This window comes from Homo sapiens, chromosome 13 (assembly GCF_000001405.40).
Source record: "Homo sapiens chromosome 13, GRCh38.p14 Primary Assembly".
Lineage (NCBI taxonomy): Eukaryota > Metazoa > Chordata > Mammalia > Primates > Hominidae > Homo > Homo sapiens.
The window spans coordinates 96,097,503-96,118,136 of record NC_000013.11 but is presented as its reverse complement, the minus strand read 5'-3'; the positions used below and the strand labels follow the sequence as shown (position 1 = coordinate 96,118,136).

Below are 20,634 nucleotides of genomic sequence, written 5' to 3'. Positions count from 1 at the left end.
GTTTTTGGAGGCCAATGTGGGTGGATCACTTGAGGTCAGGAGTTTGAGACCAGCCTGGCCAACATAGTAAAACCCCATCTCTACTTAAAAAATACAAAAATTAGCTGGGCGTGGTGGTACACACCTGTAATCCCAGCTACTCAGGAGGCTGAGGCAGTTGAATTGTTTGAACCCAGGAGGAGGAGGCTACAGTGAGCCGAGATCAGGCCACCGCACTCCAGCCTGGGTGACAGAGGGAGACTCCATCTCGAAAAAAAAAAAAAAGTCACATTCTAAGGTACACGTGAGTGAGGACTTCAACCATAAATTTGGGGGCAGGAGACATGATTCAGCCCATAACAATGTCCCTGTTAGGCACAGATTTATCTCAATCCATTTTCTAGATTCATGCAGTCTATTACATATTTTTAATTCAATCACTTAACATTATAGTTTACAACTAACATAAAGCTTCACTTCAGTGCTCTAAGCCTACCCCTCCTTGCCTGCCTTATTTTTTGGCATTTCTGCAGCATTTCCATGTGCTGCAGTCATTCATCATCACTGCATATTTTCATAGATATTATGTTTTCTTTTCTATCTTCTCCAGTGAATATCATCATTCAATCTTATCTCTTTCTGATTCTTGATATTTGTTTTCCACCTCAACCAATGTAAATGCCTGGTCCTGAAAATGTGTTCTTCCTCTTTGGTGTTAAAATACTTTCGCAATTACAACTGGTTTTCTTTATTTTAAATGTGCAATTATTGTTTTTAAAGGTTATTTTCCCTTTGTGATACTTATTATGATTTTTGTTATTCTTCTGCTTTATTTTGATGTGTTTAGACCATAGGGGGCATCTTACAATGTTAATCTTGTTAGTGTTTTCCTGAAAGTTCTTCTCTTATGAAATATTCAGACCAAAATATTCTCTTTCATGCTACAGAAATAAGGACTCCTAGGACTCCATTCAAAATAACTCTCAAACCATTTAAGGAAGTACAAAGCAAGGAGAGTGAAAGGGAAGAGAATTAAATTACTTATACCAGAAATTTTATTTCACAATCTTAAATGTGCAATCCTAAAAACTAGGCTAAATTATTTATCTCATTTTACAGATGAGTAAATTGGAGATCACAGGGCTTAGTGACTTTCTGAAGTTTATATATGTAGTCAATGATAAAGCTCAACATCAAAATGAATGTGTATCCTCCAAAACCCCAGCTTTTCCCCTTACTTCATATAAATGTTCATCTCTCCTTAAGCATATTTTTACCTACTTCGAGTTTCCCTGAGCCTCTCTGAATAAGTGGAATGGCAAGAACACAAGTCAGGTGCCAACATAATCACAACAAAACAGTGGTTTGGCTCCATGCACCTCTCTCTCTAGTCCTCCTCTCTCATCAACAATTTAAAATAGCAATGTTCAGGCATTCATTGGAAATTTACTGCAATTTATCACTTGCTATAATGAGTGAACTATCAGGTATCTGAAAGTTCAGTTCAATAGTGCATACTGAGCACCTTCTGCATGCCAGACACCACCCTGATTGCTTAGAATTCATGGATGAATAATACGCTTATCTGCTGCTGAAACCTCATGGTTTGGGAATGGAGTGGGGATGGGAGATTTCACTGCACGTTAAACGCATTTTGGGGGTGTCTGCCATGCTGTTGTTTCTTTCTCAAAGAGCCTGCCTCAGGGAAAATCTCTGCTGATTAGGGGAGACCACATGTGTACATCATCACCAGCATATTCCCTCCTGCCACTCCCACCCCACAGTTGGGTCAGGGCAGACACCTGACTATAGCTGATTGGCAATCCATGGGACCTCACAAAAAGGTGAGGTGGGCCAGTCAGATTTCTCTGCCAAAAATATATAATCAGGCCTATGAGTAGCAATTCAGGTAGTAGCAGTGTAAAAGAAGCCAGTAAGTGAACAGACTATGCACTCGAGTCGTTGAAGGAGAGCTAATTCCTGCGGCCGAGTTCCCGGAAGCTGACCAGGTTCTTATGACTCTTCCTGTCACCTGTTGTTCTATTGTCTTGTTTTCCAGAGATGCTGCTGTGTTGCCCCAGCATCCTTAAAAATAAACACCACTTTTAAAAGAAGACATTTATGCGGCCAATAAATATATGAATAAAAGCTCAACATCACTGATCATTAGAGGAATGCAAATCAAAACCACAATGAGATACCATCTCATGCCAGTCAGAGAATGGTGATTATTAAAAAGTCAAGAAACAATTGATGCTGGCGAGGATGTGGAGAAACAGGAAAACTTTTACACTGTTGGTGGGAATGTAAATTAGTTCAACCGTTGTGGAAGACAGTATGGCGATTCCTCAAGGATCCAGAACCAGAAATACCATTTGACCCAACAATCCCATTATGGGGTATATACCCAAAGGAATATAAATCATTCTACTATAAAGATACTTGCATGTGTATGTTCACTGCAGCACTATTTACAATAGCAAAGTCATGGAACCAACCCGAATGCCCAATGATAGACTGGATAAAGAAAATGTGACACATATACACCATGGAATACTATGCAGCCACAAAAAGGAATGAGATCATGCCCTTTGCAGGGACACAGATGAAGCTGGAAGCCATCATCCTCAGCAAACTAACACAGGAAAAGAAAACCAAACACCGCATGTTCTCACTCATAAGTGGGAGTTGAACAATGAAAGCCCTGGACACAGGGTGGGGAACAACACATACCAGGGCCTGTTGGGGGATGGGGTGTGAGGGGAGGAAACTTAGAGAATGGGTCAATAGGTGCAGCAAACCACCATGGTACACGTACACCTATGTAACAAACCTGTACATTCTGTACGTGTATCCCGAAACTTAAAGTAAAACAAACAAATAAAAACACCACTTTTAATATGGCCTAGTTAGATTGATTTCTGCCACTTGGAAGTATGTCAGCTCCAACTAATGCAAAAATGTAATATAATGTGACAACAGACATTATCAACAGGGTTCCATGTCTGTGCCAAGAAAAAGTCCCTGACCCCTTCAACAGAATGACCCCTTAACCATGTCCTGTAAAACTAGTAGCAAGCACACAGAAATGGAGGCAGGAACATGGGGCCAAAGGTCAGCACAAGGTCAAGGAAGAACAATTCCTATGGTTACCTAAACTTGGACTAACTATTAAACCCAGTAATCAAAAAGTCACACCTCTAGAAATTCAGTCAAAAACTGATTGCCTACCATGACCCAGAATGTTAATACAAACAGGTAGAGTCCTTGCACTAAAGAAGTCATGGTCCAGTGTCAATAGCTTCGCTCCCAACACAAAGACTTATTTATGAGAAGTCAATGTCTATTTACTAGGCCTGGGGGCATGGTGTTTTGTGACAAGAGCAGTGTTTTATTTATTTGGGGGTTTTTACACCCATCTATATCTTATGAAAAGCAACAGTATACTAATAGCTAATACTGGCACAGGGCCTTATATACACCAGACACTTTTCTAAGCACTTTGCAAACACTAGCTCATGTAATCCTCAAAACTCTATAAGGTAGGCCCTATTATTATCCCTGTTTCGTAGATGAGCAAACAGAGGCACAAAAAATGGTAAGTTACCTTCCCCAGTCACACAGCTGGTAAGTAGCAGAACTGGGATACAAATCCACAATCTTAACCACTACTTCATGCTGCTTTTAATAGTAATAAAGAAAAGAAAGGGCCAGGAACGGTGGGTCATCCCTGTAATCACAGTACTTTAGGAGGCCAAGGGAGAAGGATTACTTGAGGCCAGGAGTTTGAGACCATCCTGGGCAACACAGCGATATCCCATCGCATCAAAAAATGAAAAAATTAGCCAGGCACGGTGACAACCTTGTAGCCCAAGCTACTCAGGTGACTGAGGCAGGAGGATCACTTGGGCCCAGGAGTTTGAGGCTGCAGTGAGCTATGATCACATAATTGCAGTCCAGCCTGGGTGACAGAGACTGATCCTGTCACTAGAAAAGAAAAAAAAAAGAATTATTATATTAATAAAGAAAATAGAAAAGAAATTAAAATTACCCACATTTTCACAACTTTTTTCATTTTATTATGTTTCTTTGTAGAACCTGACCATAAGTATAGAAAGCTGATCACTAAATAGATACTATTTTGTGTCTTCTTTAATTTAACAGTGCCTCAAACATATCCTAATACGCGGCTCTTCATAATTATCATTTTAATGGGGGCATAATATTACATCAATTTGTTGTACCATAGTTTAACCATTCCCCTACTATCCAAATTCCTAGTTGTTCCACTTTTCCAACTTTTTGCCATTATAAATAATGGTAAAATGAATATATTAGTGCATATACTTTCTGTCTTTTCTTCTCTTGAATTATTTCCTTAGGATAAATTTCCAGAGGTGAGATTCCTGGTACAAACATCCATGGGCAGGTTTTTGATTCCTAATATATAGTCAGACTCCTTTCCAAAAACCAGCAATGGAAGGTTCCAAATTTACAAATGAACCCATTTCACCATAATTTCATGAGAACCGAATATTATATCTATGCTTTTTAATGTTTACTCATTTAGTAAGTGTAAGCTATGTTATTTTCTTAATTTATATTTTACTTGCATTGCTTACAGATGAGGTTAATATTTTTCTAGTTATTTATTTACTAAGGTTCTTAATGAAACAACTGTACATAAGCTTTGCCCAATTATCTATTAAGAATGTAATAATGTTTTCCACCAGTTTGAATGCCTTTAAGAAAGTCAATAATCCTTTCCTGTCATACTCTGTCAATCTGTTAATGGGGGGCAGGGGTGTGCTTTCCAAACTTCTAGAAAACAAGTCACTGAGCTCCTGCTCAGAGATACCTGGCCTCAGCTCTGAGTCTGGCTTCTCCCCATAGATAGTCTGTGACCTTGAGGAGGCTAAGTTTGGCTCAAGAACAGGAGAGCTTGATTATTGTAAACACCTCCTTAAATTTAAGTGAATCCGTGTTTGTGTGACTCATCCTTGGATGGTGATTTAAGCCCTGAGCATAAACAGGCTTGAGGTCTAGCACCACCTGATCTCCTCGGATCTGGAGGAACACCACACACACCATGAGGGCAGTGCCCATTGCAGCAGCCCTACACCCTTACCAAACTAGAAGTCCCCAAGACAGAAGAGAGCTGTTGGAATTCACTACATCTGCTCCTGCTCTATGTGACCTCCCCACTCCAATAAAACCCTGCATCCCTGACTAAATAAACTAGGAATATCATCTAATCTTACCATGGAATGTGTGTCTGTGGTATTCCTGCCAACACAAACCCACAGATACCCTCCACCAGTCCTCTTCTTCTTCATTTTATTTAAGTTATGTTGTCTTCACTATACATGTTTCACTGTTTGTTTGTTTGTTGAAACAGAGTCTTGTTCTGTCCCCCAGGCTGGATGCAGTGGTGTGATCTCAGCTCACTGCAACCTCCAACTCATGGGATCAAGTGATCCTTCTGCCTCAGCCTCCGGAGTAGCTGGGACCACAGGTGTACACCACCAGCCGGGCATATATATATATATATATATATATATATATATATATATATATATTTATTTATTTTAGAGATGGGGTTTTATCATGTTGCCCAACCTGGTCTCAAACTCCTGGATTCAAGCATTCCACCCGCCTCAGTCTCCCAAAGTGCTGGGATTACAGGTGTGGGCCACCACATCTGACCTGTTTCACCATTTAAATATAGATAAATCTTTCATGTTTTCCCTTGTGCTTCCTTTTATCCCTTAACACACTAGAAAGATTCATTCTTTCCAAGGAACATAAATATGCCCAATTTTACATTATCCCAAAGCTTATATTATTTTCTTTAACTATTAAATTCATCTGGGATGCAGGTTGTTACATAATTATGCAATACAGATCTAAAAGAGTTTGCTGTGTTTCTAAATATTGTGGGAAACTGGTTATTAAATGAGCATTCTTTTCCCTACCATTCTGTAAGGACTACTATATCACACATTCAACTCATAAATATAATTGTATCTATTTCTGGGGCTTTCTGTCCTATTTATGTATACTTCGAGCTATGCATCCAGAGATGTAGTTTTAATTTTGTTTCCAACATGGTTTATATCTGGGACTAACTCTACCTCATCACTTTTCTTCTTCAGGAATACTTAGGGTATCCTAACTTTTTTCAAACCATTTTAGAATGATTTTGTCAAAAAAGGACTAGTAATTTCTTTTCTTAAATTTATAAATTGTAAATTTTTATAATATGGTTTCTTCCATTCAGAAAACATTTGTCTATTCATTCAAGCCTCAATTTATCTCCAATGAAATCTGCAGTTCTCTTTATGTAGGTCACAGTCATCCTTAACGAAGCTTATTCCCTTATATTTTATATCTTTGTCACTACAGTGAATGAGATATTTTCATTATATTGTCTAGTTGCTTATTGCTGATATACCAAAATCTCTGTTTCATAGAGTGGATGTGAAAAACAGTCTTTTGAAGAATATTCCTGTGTCTTCTGCAAAACTATTGTGGAAACACGGTTCAGGATGTCATCCCATGTCCCTTTAAGCAAAAAATTCCTTCCAGAGGTCAGAAAAAAAGGAATTTTTTTTTCTGAGACAAACTTAACCCAATGACAAGGGCTCTCTGTTTTATTTATTTGCCTTAGCAGCCAAGATATTAAAAGCTTAAGTTCCTGTTTAACTGCAAAAATGAATTATACCTAGATGTCTGGCACACACATTATTCTGTTCCTTTTCATTGGTTTTAGTTTTACTCATATTTTTAATTGTCCTATTTTAATTCTGCAAGCCACCTCAAATTGTCTTTGGAAGTAGGCAGTTAGCCTTAGAAGGTTATGTGCCTTAATATGCACATTCAGAAGTAATTAAGCTATATGATAATTGAATAGTATTGTTCATCTGTTCTTAATTATATATGCTAAAAATGGAGTAATCAACCTTTTTCCTTTAGGACACATTGTAAATCTACCCCCTTTGTATCTCACTCAAGAAAGCATTACAGAACATGGGAGTGATCCTGCACAGTCAACTAGAATTTTAATTTTATTTTTTAAAATAAGCATTTTTCATAAACCATGGTACTTCTAATATTTTTAATAATAAATCACCTATGGTATATCTTTATACTAGTCAATGTGTAGCAAACAGCATGTCATCAAGACACATCAGGACACAAATGGGGGAAGAATGGTGAGAAAATGATCTGGGAAAAGTTCCTTGGAAAGGTAAGTAAGTTGTGCACAGTGCCTGAATTACTGCTTCTGAAGTCTTCACCACACCCCTCAAGGAAAATTAACCACTCTTTATTCTGAATTCTGATGACCCTTTATAATTCAACCATTTCCTCCAAAAAGGTTGATACAGTTTGGATATTTGTCCCCTCCAAATCTCATGTTGAAATGTGATCCCCGGCCAGGCGTGGTGGCTCACGCCTGTAATCCCAACACTTTGGGAGGCCGAGGCGGGGGGATCAGGAGGTCAGGAGATTGAGGCCATGGTGAAACCCCATCTCTACTAAAAATACAAAAAATTAGCCGGGCATGGTGGTGGGCACCTCTAGTCCCAGCTACTCAGGAGGCTGAGGCAGGAGAATGGTGTGAACCTGGGAGGCGGAGCTTGCAGTGAGCCAAGATGGTGCCACTGCACTCCAGCCTGGGCGACAGAGTGAGACACCGTCTCAAAAAAAAAAAACACACACACACAAATTAAAAAAGAAAAGAAATGTGATCCCCTATGTTCAAGGTGAGGCCTGGAGGGGGGTGTTTGGGTCATGGGGGTGGGTCCCTCATGAAGGGCTTGGTGTCCTCCACATGATCACAAGTGAGTCTCACTCTGTTAGTTTACAAGAGAGCTGGTTGTTTAAAGGAGCTTGGCACCTCCTCCTCTTTCTCTTGCTCCCTCTCTTGCCATGTGATGTGCCTGCTCCTCCTTTGCCTTCTTCCATAATTGTAAGCTTCCTGAGGCCTCACCAGAAGCCAAGCAGAAGCTAGTGCCATGCTTATATAGCCAGCAGAACTGTGAGCCAAATAAACTTCTCTTCTTTAAAATTACCCAGCCTCACGTATTCCTTTATAGCAACACAAAATGGACTAATTCAGAAGCCTCTCCCACTCTGGCTATGCTCTGCCTCTGTGCTTTGCAGCTCTGTGCCCACACCACAGCACATCCCTCACTGCATACTGGTGGCTGCCCACTGTAATTTCATTGAGAAAAAAGAAAATATCTGATTCACCTTTTTATTTCCAATGCCCAGCCCAGTACCCGGCACTTCCAACCTGCTCACATCATAACTTAGATAGTGGTTCACATTGCCCAGGACATGCCATATTACTGAACACTAGATGTAAGGACTTAATAAACAACTGACTGAGGTGCATAGCTCACCATCTGCACCCTCCTATCCCAGCTATCTTGGGCCACTTTTGGATCTTCATTTCTAGGCCTTTCCTTCATCCCCTTTGACTTCCCTGATACCTCAAAGTCACTAACACCAGTGCAACTTATTTTACTTTCTCTAACACTTCTCCAGAACAGAACAAACAGATATCAGATTCTGATAAATGTAAGTAGCTTTCTAAATGTGGAGAGAATCAAGCTTTAGACAAAACACAGGCCAATCTGTGAATGAGTTCCCTTGCACACATAAGCAATGCATAACCTTTTGGAAACTGTAATAATTATCCTCTAATGCATCCTTCTTCCAGCCCATCTCATCAAAACCACAAGTGGTTTCAAATAGTCTAACCCATTTTTATGAACGTGAGTTGCCTCCTCAAGAAACCTCTATTTCCCAGAGACCTATCCACTCACACACTGACATACGATCTGCTGAGTCACAGTTGGTTTCCAGACACTAGGGCCCAGCTCACATCCAATAGTCAGACTCTATTCTCTGTGAGGTCATCTGTCTACCGGAAAATCTCATGTATCGGGCAATGCTTGTGACAAACCTGTCCCTCACCAAAGATTAAAATGTAAAAATGCCTTTAGATAGCCAACTTTACAAATACTGTTCATGCTTCTGCTTTCTCCCCCATAAAGAATGAATGCTGAACAATTTTTAACCATTTCTTGCTAACTATGATAGAGTTAAACATAAACATAGTTACAATATAAAGATCCAGATGATAGAGGGATAGAGATAGAGATAGAGATAGAGATAGAGATAGAGATAGAGATAGGAGTGGTTGTCACAGATTTAACCTTTCATGGAATGCTGCCCTGTGACCTCCTTACTGTCCTGGAGTTCCCATGCACCTGATGGGATACTGAAGGATGAGGAGCTTTTTACCCTTCTCTACAGAGCAGGATTCAGGTTCTTCCAATGCTTTCTTTAACTTCCTGTGGCTACTTCTTTTCTATCTTTCCTATTTTTTATTTTCTGCTCTCTTCTCTGTCCTTTACCTCTTTCCTTCCTATCGGGGAACCAGCCCCCAATATTTTAACATGGGTTCTTTTCTATTTTCCCTAAGTGTCGGCTGGTCTGAGAATAAAGGGAAAGAGTACAAAAGAGAGAAATTTTAAAGCTGGGTGTCCGGGGAAGACATCACATGTTGGCAGGTTCCATGATGCCCCCGAGCCACAAAACCAGCAAGTTTTTATTAGTGATTTTCAAAGGGGAGGGAGTGTACGAATAAAGTGTGGGTCACAGAGATCACATGCTTCAAGGGCAATAAAATATCACAAGGCAAATGGGCAGGGCAAGGTCACAAGGCCAGGGCAAAACTAGAATTGCTGATGAAGTTTCATGTCCCACTGTGCACGCATCGTCACTGATAAACATCTTAACAGAGTTCAAGAGCAGAAAACCGGTCTGACTAGAATTCGCCAGGCTGGAATTTCCTAATCCTAGCAAGCCTGGGGGCGCTACAGGAGACTAGGGTGTGTTTCATCCCTATCTACAACTGCATAAGGCAGACACTCCCAGAGCAGCCATTTTTGAGGCCTCCCCCTGGGAATGCATTCTTTTTCCAGGACTGTTAATTATTAATATTCCTTACTAGGGAAATAATTCAGCGATATTTCTCTTACCCGTTTTCGGCAATAAGAGAAATATGAGTCTGTCCTGCCCGGCTCCCAGGCAGTCAGACCTAATGGTTACCTCCCTTGTTCCCTGAACATTGCTGTTATCCTGTTCTTTTTTCAAGGTGCCCAGATTTCATATTGTTCAAATACACATGCTTTACGAACAATTTGTGCAGTTAATGCAATCATCACAGGGTCCTGAGGCAACATATATCCTCAGCTTACGAAGATGATGGGATTAAGAGATTAAATTAAAGACAGGCATAGGAAATTATAAGAGTATTGATTGGGGAAGTGATAAATGTCCACAAAATCTTCATAATTTATGTTCAGAAACCGCAGTAAAGACAGGCGTAAGAAATTATAAATGTATTAATTTGGGGAACTAATAAATGTCCATGAAATCTTCACAATTTATGTTCTTCTGCCATGGCTTCAGCCAGTCCCTCTATTTGGGGTCCCTGACTTCCTGCAACACTTCCCACAGTCCTGCAATACTGAACAGCTGAGAAGTCTGACTTGCAGAGGAAAGAATAATTATATTCCCACAGTCTTCTGGAGCACATGTCATATCATTGTCACCCTTCACCCCTGGGGCTAGCACTGTGGACCTCCTGACCTACAGCACCAGGAGGTCCAACTCTACATTCCTCTCCAACTCTACTTTTATCATCATTTTTGACATCAATATTCTCATGGATAACCCATCCAACACCTTGTCCCGACCATTCTTTCACCTTCTTAGCACCAATGATCACTCATTGCCCCATCTTAGGCAGCCATTTACAGAGACCATACAAGGAATAGTCTCCACTCCAGCATCTCAATTTCAAATGCCCTTTTCTTTGACCATTATCTCCTACAGTCCAGCACACTTACACCAACTCTCCAGCACTCCTACTCCTACAACCCCCATACTATCATCAACCTTAACATATAATATTGACCCTACCACTTTTCTTATTGTGTATCACCCAACCTCATATCCTTGCTTATATCCCAACAAATGACAAGATCTGGCACTAAAATGTTCCCTTGCAAATATCCATAACTCCCTTGCTACTCACTGGGTAAAACTCCAGTGCTGGTTAAACCCAATTGTGTAATTTTGCCTCTATCCGAACAGTTAAATGTTACTGAAGAAAATTACAGAACCATTCTAACTGGACTGATTTCAAATGTATAATCACAGATCTCAAAACAGAACTCAATACTGCCAGACAACTTACTTCCCTAGGAAATGTGTTTTCCCAACTTCTAAGATAATTATTCACATCTCTGCTCTTCTCAAATTTCCGACATTCCTTCCCTTTCCTCACGACTCTCAGCTAATGACCTTGCTTTGTACTTCATAGAGAAAAGAGATGCAATCAGATTAGAACTATCCCATCTTTCAACTGTCAATTCCACCAACCATCCTGTATCTGTACTCAAATACGCTGCCTTCATTTTGGTTAAAAAGGGAAGAAGATAGATGAGATACTTCCTGTGCTCTGTGATCAGATTGTCTCTTATCTTCTTAAAAATATCACCCTACTCTGTTTTTTCATTTTTGTTAGTGTTCATATCTGGCTCAGGGTCTCTCACAAGGCTGCTGTCTGTAAAGAGCTGACTGGGGCTGAAGGATCCTTTTCCAAGCTCACTCACACTGCTGTTGGAAGGAGGTTTCAACTTCTTGCCAAGTAGGCTTCTCTATAGTGCTGCTGAGAACACAGCTTCCCCCAGAGTAAGTGGAGAGAGAGAGAGAGAGCAAGAGACAGACAGAGAGCATGTACACTGAAACAAAAGCCACAGTCCTTTTATAACCTAAACTCAGAAGGGGCATCTCATCTCCTCTTCGGTTGTACTCTATTAATTAGAATCAAGTCATTAAAGCCAATACAGGGCATGAAGGGATGCATTAAGCTTCACATCTTCAAGGAAAGAGTATCAGAGAATTTATTGGACGTTAATACTTTAACAACTACTACTACTTAAGAGTTTTAAGTAATTCTAAATTTTATATTGAATCAAAAATAATTTCCTCAGCCTAGCATATTTTCAGAACCCTCTATATACAGCTCTACAACCAATCCAATATCACCCCATCACTTCAGTCAATATAAACCCTTCACTGCCTGCCTTGTTCATTACTGCAAATGCCTTCTTCAGCAATTTTATAAATAGTTCTGATTACAATACCAGGAATTAACTAAAATGTTGTGATGTAAATATTTCCAAGTCATTTTGTCCATGAGTTACATAATGATGATTTCATTCTTTGCAAGCCAGGACCAAGTATTCTACTCAATTTGTATTCTTCACAGGGTCTGGTATTGGGCTATGTACAAGCATGAATGAACCAATCAATCTAGTTAGCAATAGAAAGAAAATAATTTCAAAATTAAACATTATTATATCTCTCTTGCTAACCATTCAATGTTTTATAACATTACTTTTTTATTTTTATTTTTATTTTTGAGACAGAAATTCACTCTGTCACCCAGGCTGGAGTGCAGTGGCGCGATTTCAGCTCACTGCAACTTCCGCCTCCCGGGCTCAAATGATTATCCTGGCTCAGCCTCCAAGCAGCTGGGACTACAGGCACCCACCACCATGCCTGGATAATTTTTGTATTTTTAGTAGAGACAGGTTTTCACCATGTTGGCCAGGCTGGTCTCAAACTCCTGACCTCAAGTGATCCACCTGCCTCAGCCTCCCAAAGTGCCGGGATTATAGGTGTGAGCCATTGTGCCTGGCCTATAATATTACTTAAATTATAAGGAATTGTCTGTGTCAGGTTTTGCTGGGTTTCACAGCTGTAAACCCTTCCCTTCTCTCCCTCCCTCCTCCTACTTCCATGTCTTTCCACAGCTTAGAACCATGTGACTTGGAGACTTGATCCGACTCCAATCTCTCAAATCAATCCACATCCATGTCACATCATGGGTGTGACAGCACAAATTAGTCTGATCCTATGTCTAGTCTCAATCTGACTTTGCACCTGTACTCTGATCACTGGCTTCTGCACTTTTCTTCTTTCTTTTTCTTTTTTTTTTTTTTCCATCTTTATGCCTTTGGTTAATTACATTATTTGTCCTGTGCAAATAATTACATTATTTGCCCTGTACATTATTGTGTCCTTTCCAATCTTGATAACTGTTTTAAGGATACCCAGGCTTTGTTTTAGGCAAGTACAGTAAGACAAGCAGACACATAAACAACCATCATGAAAAAGAAGGATTTTATGCTCCCTGGGAGATCCCTGGAAATAAGAAGCAGGCCACACCACACCGGGCCACAAAGGGAAGCACAGGGGTCAGTCAGGAAGCCAAGGGAGAGGGGAAAACACGGCCAAGAGCCTTTATTGTGGTATCCATGGAAAGAAACCAGTGAGACAGGGTAAGCAGGTTTAGGACTGGCCAGTTTGAATCATTTCAGCAGGCCCTGGGGCAGTTGTCTGGTGTCTGGCCCTGGAGTGATTAAAGCAGTGGGATAGTGGACTATATTGCAAGAGCCCACTAAAGCAAGTAGTTAGGGGTGTGGGCTCTAGATAGGTTGGTTTGCATACAAAAAGTGTGCTGGAAGGTGAGTCATTTACTAACTCTAGGAATTAGCTAACCCTAGGAGAGGCAGTTCCTTCAGGGTCAGCAAGTCCACAAATGTCAAAGCGTGAAAATCACAGTGTGAATCTTAGGGTTTTCTATCAGCTTATTGACCTTCCTCCAAGACCTACTCCAGCCCAGAAGTTCCATGTATTCCAGGTCTCAAGCCATGGAAATCTGTCATATCCTGGAGTTGATCAGTACTAGGCTTCACATATGAAAATCAGCTCATTAAGAAGCAAAAATTATTCTGCCAGTAGATCTTATTGCAATGCAAACTTTAGATTCTGGAAGATTTTATTTTCTATTCTAAAGTAACTTCGTGCTTTCTTTGTAATTAACTGCAAAACCAAGTATGAATAGAACAATTCAACAGTCTTCTCAAATCAGAAATTTTCTTCATTTTCTTAAATGAAGAAAAATTACATTCTCAGGTCACTTTCAGGACATATTAACCTGTAGCTATAATTTATCTCTATCATATACAGTCATGAACACAAAATTTAAAATATTAATTTCATGATAATTTTCTCAAAAGGGTAAAGCAATGGGAAAAAAAAAAAAAAAAAAACACCTCAAACCTTGATCTATGCCAAATCCCTAGGAGGAAAAAAGGTTTCCTGATGGTCTAAGCGAAAGACTTATGCACTTAGATAAGTCATTTATGATATAGAATGTCCTGTTTTAAAAGGAACTGCTCATTACTCTAACAAGTCGTTGAGCTAAATGTGTATTTTGAATATTTTCAACTTCATCTTTGTCATTCCGGTGTTTTGAAATGCTCTATAAAAGCTGAATTACATATTCATTGCATTTTCAAAATCCAACTTTCCTTCCTTTTCCATTTTATATCAAAAGCCTTCTTACGTCAATATAAATTTAAATTTGTATAGCACAGTACTGTATAATTTACGAAGTGCCTTCGTAGTCATTTTCTCACCCCACAACTCCAAAAAAACAGGATATAGGGCACACATTCTTATCCAAATTGTCTCATAAATTAGTAAATTTATTTACGCTTGCTTCATTCTTTCGTTTATTCAGTCAACATTTGTTTGACAGCCATTATGTACCAGGCACTACTCTAGGCACTGATAATGCAGAGGAGACCACAAACTCACCAACCTCAGGAAACTGATATGTTGGCAGGAAATGATATAATAAATAAGTGAACGAGTAAGTGAGGAAGCCCAGATTCAAATCCTGGTTGCCTGATTACAAATTTAGAGGTCTTTTCTGGATACCACTCTGCCAAATTATGCAATGCAGAAGTTCTCTTTGCCATGAATTTGGTAGTTTGATTTCTTCTTGGACTCATCTCTCTTTAGGTTTTAAAAAGGTCTCAGATTTTCCCTAAACTCTGAAGTAACTCTGTTATCAACGGTCAAAACACTGTTTAATAACCATCATTTTCAGGGCATTACTGTAAATGGTTAGGGAAAACCGGCCCCTCCACCCCCTTCTCAAAAAAAGAGAATCATGGATTTTTAAAATTAATTTTAAAAAGAAAACACATATATGCCAAGAAAAACACGTACCGATAAAATTTTAAAGTACAAATTAATATCCTGCAAGAGTATACTCACTGAATTATTAGCAGTTGTCTGCCTACACAGTGTTTCTATAGGACTGCATTTCAAATTACTCCCTTTGCCTGTTTTCCATCTCATACCACTCACTAGTAAGTTAACTTGTTCCATGTATCATTAGTAATTCATGACTTGCTTGCGAAAGTGCAGGGACAGCACTACTACAGACCTAATACAATGAATATCTTATTAGGAAGAAATTAACAAATGAATTGTTGCCGATCAATAGGTGTTGAAGAGAAAATTACAATGATAGTAAAGCCTAAATAATTTATACACAATATTGATTTTTTCATTACATTAATTATTCTTTATAGCACACATAAGGAACTTGGAGAATAAAACCTTCAAAGCAAAGAAATTATCTGCAGTGGTGTTTTAGGCCTCAGTCTGAATTTAAAAGACAAAGAATGGTCTATGAGAGTTAACTATTTTTATTTTTATTTTTTGTTTTGAGACAGAGTCTCACTCTGTTACCCAGGCTGGAGTGCAGTGGCCCGATATTGGCTCACTGCAACCTCCCCCTCCTGGGTTCAAGCAATTATCCTGCCTCAGCCTCCCAAATAGCTGGGACTACAGGCCCCCACCACCACACCCAGCTAGCAAATATTTTTAAATTAAGAATGCACCCAATAATAAATTGGACACTTCCAATGTACACAGGTTCCTTCATGTTGTGAGAAGTTTTTAGACACAAGTAGTTTTGACATTTATCAATAAAAGTAGTGACAGAAATGTTTATTCATAGGAATATTACAGATAGAAATATCCATTAGTCCACCTCTTTCATCGAATATACAGAAGGCACAATAAGGAACTCAAGGAAGCTGTGTGGGGAAAAAAAAATACCTTTTCTGATACCTCTCCCAGATTTTCTAAATTCACTGGACTTAAATTCGGACCAACAAAGTGCACATTCCTTAGAACTAATAACTTTCATAGCCAGCAGAAAACAATTCCGCAGGCAACTTTTTTGTGGCCTCAGAGACAAAGACCTGAAAATGATCCTTTTGTTTACAGGCCATTGATGACTCTAGCTATGTCATAAAATGGTGTATGTGCACGTGCAAGAGAGAGAAAGAGAGAGAGGAGAGAAAAGACAGCTCCGTGTAAGGCGGTACAATGACAGAGAAGATTCAGGTTGGTATATTCTCCATGGATGGCATTGTTTCCAGCAACTCAAAATCCCCTCCTCTGGATGGGAGAAATGAACGTGACATATATGTACCAATGTCAATAGATATACTGCCTACAGACATGGTATTGGATATGCATTTTGTCATCTATAAATATATATGTTGAACAGTGTTTTGCTGATGGCATTTTGACTCTCAGAATTCAAGCAGTGAATTGAGGGTTCTTGTGCCAAGTTTTGTCAGATACCAATTTTATGTAAATATTTTTAGTATCTAGTATTAGAAGCTTTTCATAATATTTTGCACCAAAAGGTACATGCATGTGTACTTTCAACATATCACATTCCCCCAAAATAAATGCGGAAATATTGCTTCAAAAGTCCTTTAAAATTAAAACTAAAAATATGAGGATAGTTTCAAACATGACACAATGAATTTCTTCCCTCACCTATTACCTTCAGAGACTTAAAGCTCATAAATATTACTCTAGAGAATTTTAATGCTCTTGGAAGAAAATCTAAGCGGCAGAAAGGGTCTCATCTCGTAAATGTTTTTGCAAACTATAGCCAGTTTTGCAAACTACTTGTCATGCCTTAACTAATATTGTTACATAACTTCAAATTTATAAAATGTGTGTTGTCTACTGTGCATCATAATATAGATACGACTGGCCAAATCTGTCACTATTATCAGATGATTCTGGGGTACTAAGATGACAAAACACCCAAATTAGCATGATTTTTATTACTCAGCAAAAAGTCACTTTGTCTGTGCTAACTGTTCCTTTGGAGAGCGGCCCTTTGCTGCACTCATCATTCTTTAGGTGGAGACTAATGGTCCATGCAGAAAATCATGCAGTACAGGTACTAAAATATGGGGTATCCGATCTTGGTCTCATTTGTAGAACACAACAGGGCATCCATAAACTGAATTAGAAGAAATTTCAAACTATTTTCAGACACTGTGCAAGTTAGTCTCCATTTTCATCCCTCCCATCACTGGACCCCAAATCCATTTTCCATCTTTCTCTGACTTGCTGAAGGCCACAGAATGCATCAGCTCTCTTGCCCTTTAGCTTCTAAGTGGATTCACTCTGGAAGACAATAGGAGGAAATGGACAGGTGGGAGGAGAAAGCACTCCCACTCCTTTCTCTTGGCCTCTGCTCTATAGCTCTAGCAGTGGCTGCTTTCTGCAAACACCTCCTCTCCAGAAGTTTCTCCTTCGGCTCTCTCCTACTACTGAAACTGGAGCTCCTGTCAGCCACCAGCAGGCAAAAAATACTGATAACACAGTTCTCTCCTTTTGCCTCTTCACATCCAATGGGGTTAACAGTTTCCTCTTGTCACTGGTTGCAAGGTACCTTGAGGTCCAATATTGGTTTCCCTATCCCTGTCCATACCTCTCAAACTAGTTCCTTTGAAATCCCAAAGTGTGCCTCTGCTTGCTGCCAGGAACTGTAAAGCTACCAATACTTTAAAACAGCAGCATGATACAGAAAATGAATGCATAAGTAGATAAATATACATTAGTAGCACTTAAATATACTCGACCTCCAAATCAGATAGCCTTCTGGATAGTGGATTACTTCCCCTAACTGCAGCATTGAGACAAACCATTGCATACCAGATAAATTTCTGTCTTCTATGTTCAATATTACCTTCTTTCTGATTCAGTTATTTTAGGATTTCATTCTTTACCTTGACTATTTTTGTTCTTCTTCTCTCCCTCCTTTGTATCATTCTTCCAATTTACACTTTATATGATCACTGTGTGATATCTCTTTCTTGGCATGTCACCTTGTTCTTTACTATATTATGGGGCTCTTACCCTCAGATTTACAGACACGCATTAAGTTACCACATGTCTTTCTTTCAAACCGTGTTTGCTCTTCTTTCTAGGTCTATATTTTCACATTTGAAGTTTCTACACATTCCTAGAGTCCACAAAATACAGATGCCATCTCTCAGGTTTACGCTTAAATATCCAGAACCTTTAATTATTTGGAAGAAATACTTTGTAAATCTAATAAATAAATACCGAGGACATCGAGGTGATTAGCATTTATACCCTCTGATGTTTATAAGAAAACTAGAAAGCAGGAGCAAACATAAATACACAATGTCAAATGCAAGGTTATGAAAACAAATGACACAGTACTTACCAATAAAAGCATGGTAAGATATTAATAATAGGAATGAACTACAAATATTTACGTGCCCACAGGCAACTAATTCAATTTCACTGCAGGATTGCTTCATGTATGAATTTAATTGTATATGTTTAAACATTTTTATTGCTGTTTCATTAATTTCCCATAAAAAATAAAACTATATGCTGGGGGGGAAAAAGACTGCAAGTTTCCATTCTTGGACTGAGTGCCCAGTGAATATCCACAGCATCCTAAGAATTAACATTGACTTTATCATTTACGGCTTCTCTTTTGCATCACAGCTTGAAAATTCATTTTTACACTATTCAGGAGGAGAAGTTCCAAATTCAAAAAAGATGCTACAGGTTTAGCTATCATTTTATTTTTACATAAAAACAACATATATGTGTTGGGGTGTGGTGGCTCACACCTGTAATCTCAGCACTTTGGGAGGCAGACAGGCAGATCACCTGAGGTCAGGAGGTCAAGACCAGCCTGGCCAACATAGTAAAACCCTGTCTCCACTACAAATACAAAAATTAGCCGGGCATGGTGGTGGGCGCCTTTAATCCCAGCTACTCGGGAGGCTGAGGCAGGAGAATTGCTTGAACCTGTGAGGCGGAGGTTGCAGTGAGCAGAGATCGTGCCACTGCACTCCAGTTTGGGTGACAGAGCGAGACTCCATCTCAAAAACAACAACAACAACAACAAACATATATGCATGAGATGAGTCTCAGGAGAAAATAATAATAGCTAACTCTTTTATGATTTCCTCACTATGTGTCAGCCTTTGTCCTAAGAGTACCACATGGGTTACCAAAGCTCACCATGAGATAGTGCTCTTCTTATCGACATTTTCCAGAGAAGGAAACTGAAGTGCAGAGCAGATAATTGACTTAACCCAGGGCCACGTGACAGTAAGTGACTGAATCAGATTAAAATCCAGGTAGTTTGACTTCAGAGTTCATGCTTTTATTTTATTTATTTATTTTTAGAGATAGGGTTTCACTTTGTTGCCTAGGCTGGTCTCGAACTCCTGGGCTCAAGAGACCCACCTACCCCTGGCCTCCCAGAGTTCTGGGATTACAGGTGTGAGCCACCATGCCTGGCCAGGGTCCATGCTTTTAAACATTACCCCAATTACGGTCACAAATCAAGCACTTGCATGATTTTCAGTGGCTGATAAATTTGTCATTGTTTTCCTCCAACCTCTCTTGAAGTCTTTTTCCTAATTCATCATATCTTTCTATTGTTCTCCAATATTACGATCTCCAACCACCACCACCTCAGCCACCTAGCCTTGACCAGTAGTAATCTAGCATCTATATAAACCAGAGGTTATATTAATATATAGCTCTCTCATCCTTCCATCCTACATCAGAGTTCACATCCTCTCAGTTTAGGCTGATTTTTTTCTAAAGCACAAATGAATGATTACATTAACCTTTTCAAGAGGCAAATACATCTGTCAGTAAACAAATGAGTTTCTGATGTGTGGCATACAGTCTAATAGGAGAAACCTCCTCAATAGTCCAACAAGTCCAATAAGTCCAATAATCCAATAAGTCCAATAAGTCCAATAAGCTCTGGTCTCCATATTTACTTTTACTTCTCTTCTAGACAATCCGGGGAGTGGGCATCTTGCTAATTATGGAAGGCAACCACTAATAATCAGAATTTGCACCTGAAATAACAGAGTCATTTGGAATTTTGATAATTCTATCTTTTAAATAACACAATCTTGTCAAGTTATGCTGCTATGTTTTCAAGGTAATCTAAAAGCCGACATTTATTCAGAATCTTCTATAAATTAATCTCTATGCTGGGCACTTTATATGTGTCTTACTGAGCAACTGAGCAACTGTATTTGCCAGAGGAAGATAAAAACAAATAACACTGTCCAAGTTAAAAAATGTTTACTATTCCTTCCAATACATGAATGCTCAGCTATAATTTAAACAAAGTTGTATTAGCTAATTAAAATCAACAGGGAATTTATAAATGATATCTACAATCTAACCAACTCAAAAACAAGATAAGTGATTACTACAAAACATTAATTTGGCCAATTAAAATCAACAGGGAATTTATAAATGATATCCACAATCTAACGAACTCAAAAACAAGATAAGTGATTACTACAAAAT

The 20,634-nt window shown here is 39.1% G+C and overlaps 1 protein-coding gene across 1 annotated transcript in view; it reads right to left on the bottom strand.

Moving 5' to 3' along the window:
* The window catches only part of HS6ST3 (heparan sulfate 6-O-sulfotransferase 3), a 749,456-nt gene that overhangs the window by 721,426 nt on the left and 7,396 nt on the right, over window positions 1-20,634 (bottom strand). The window lies entirely within an intron of this gene.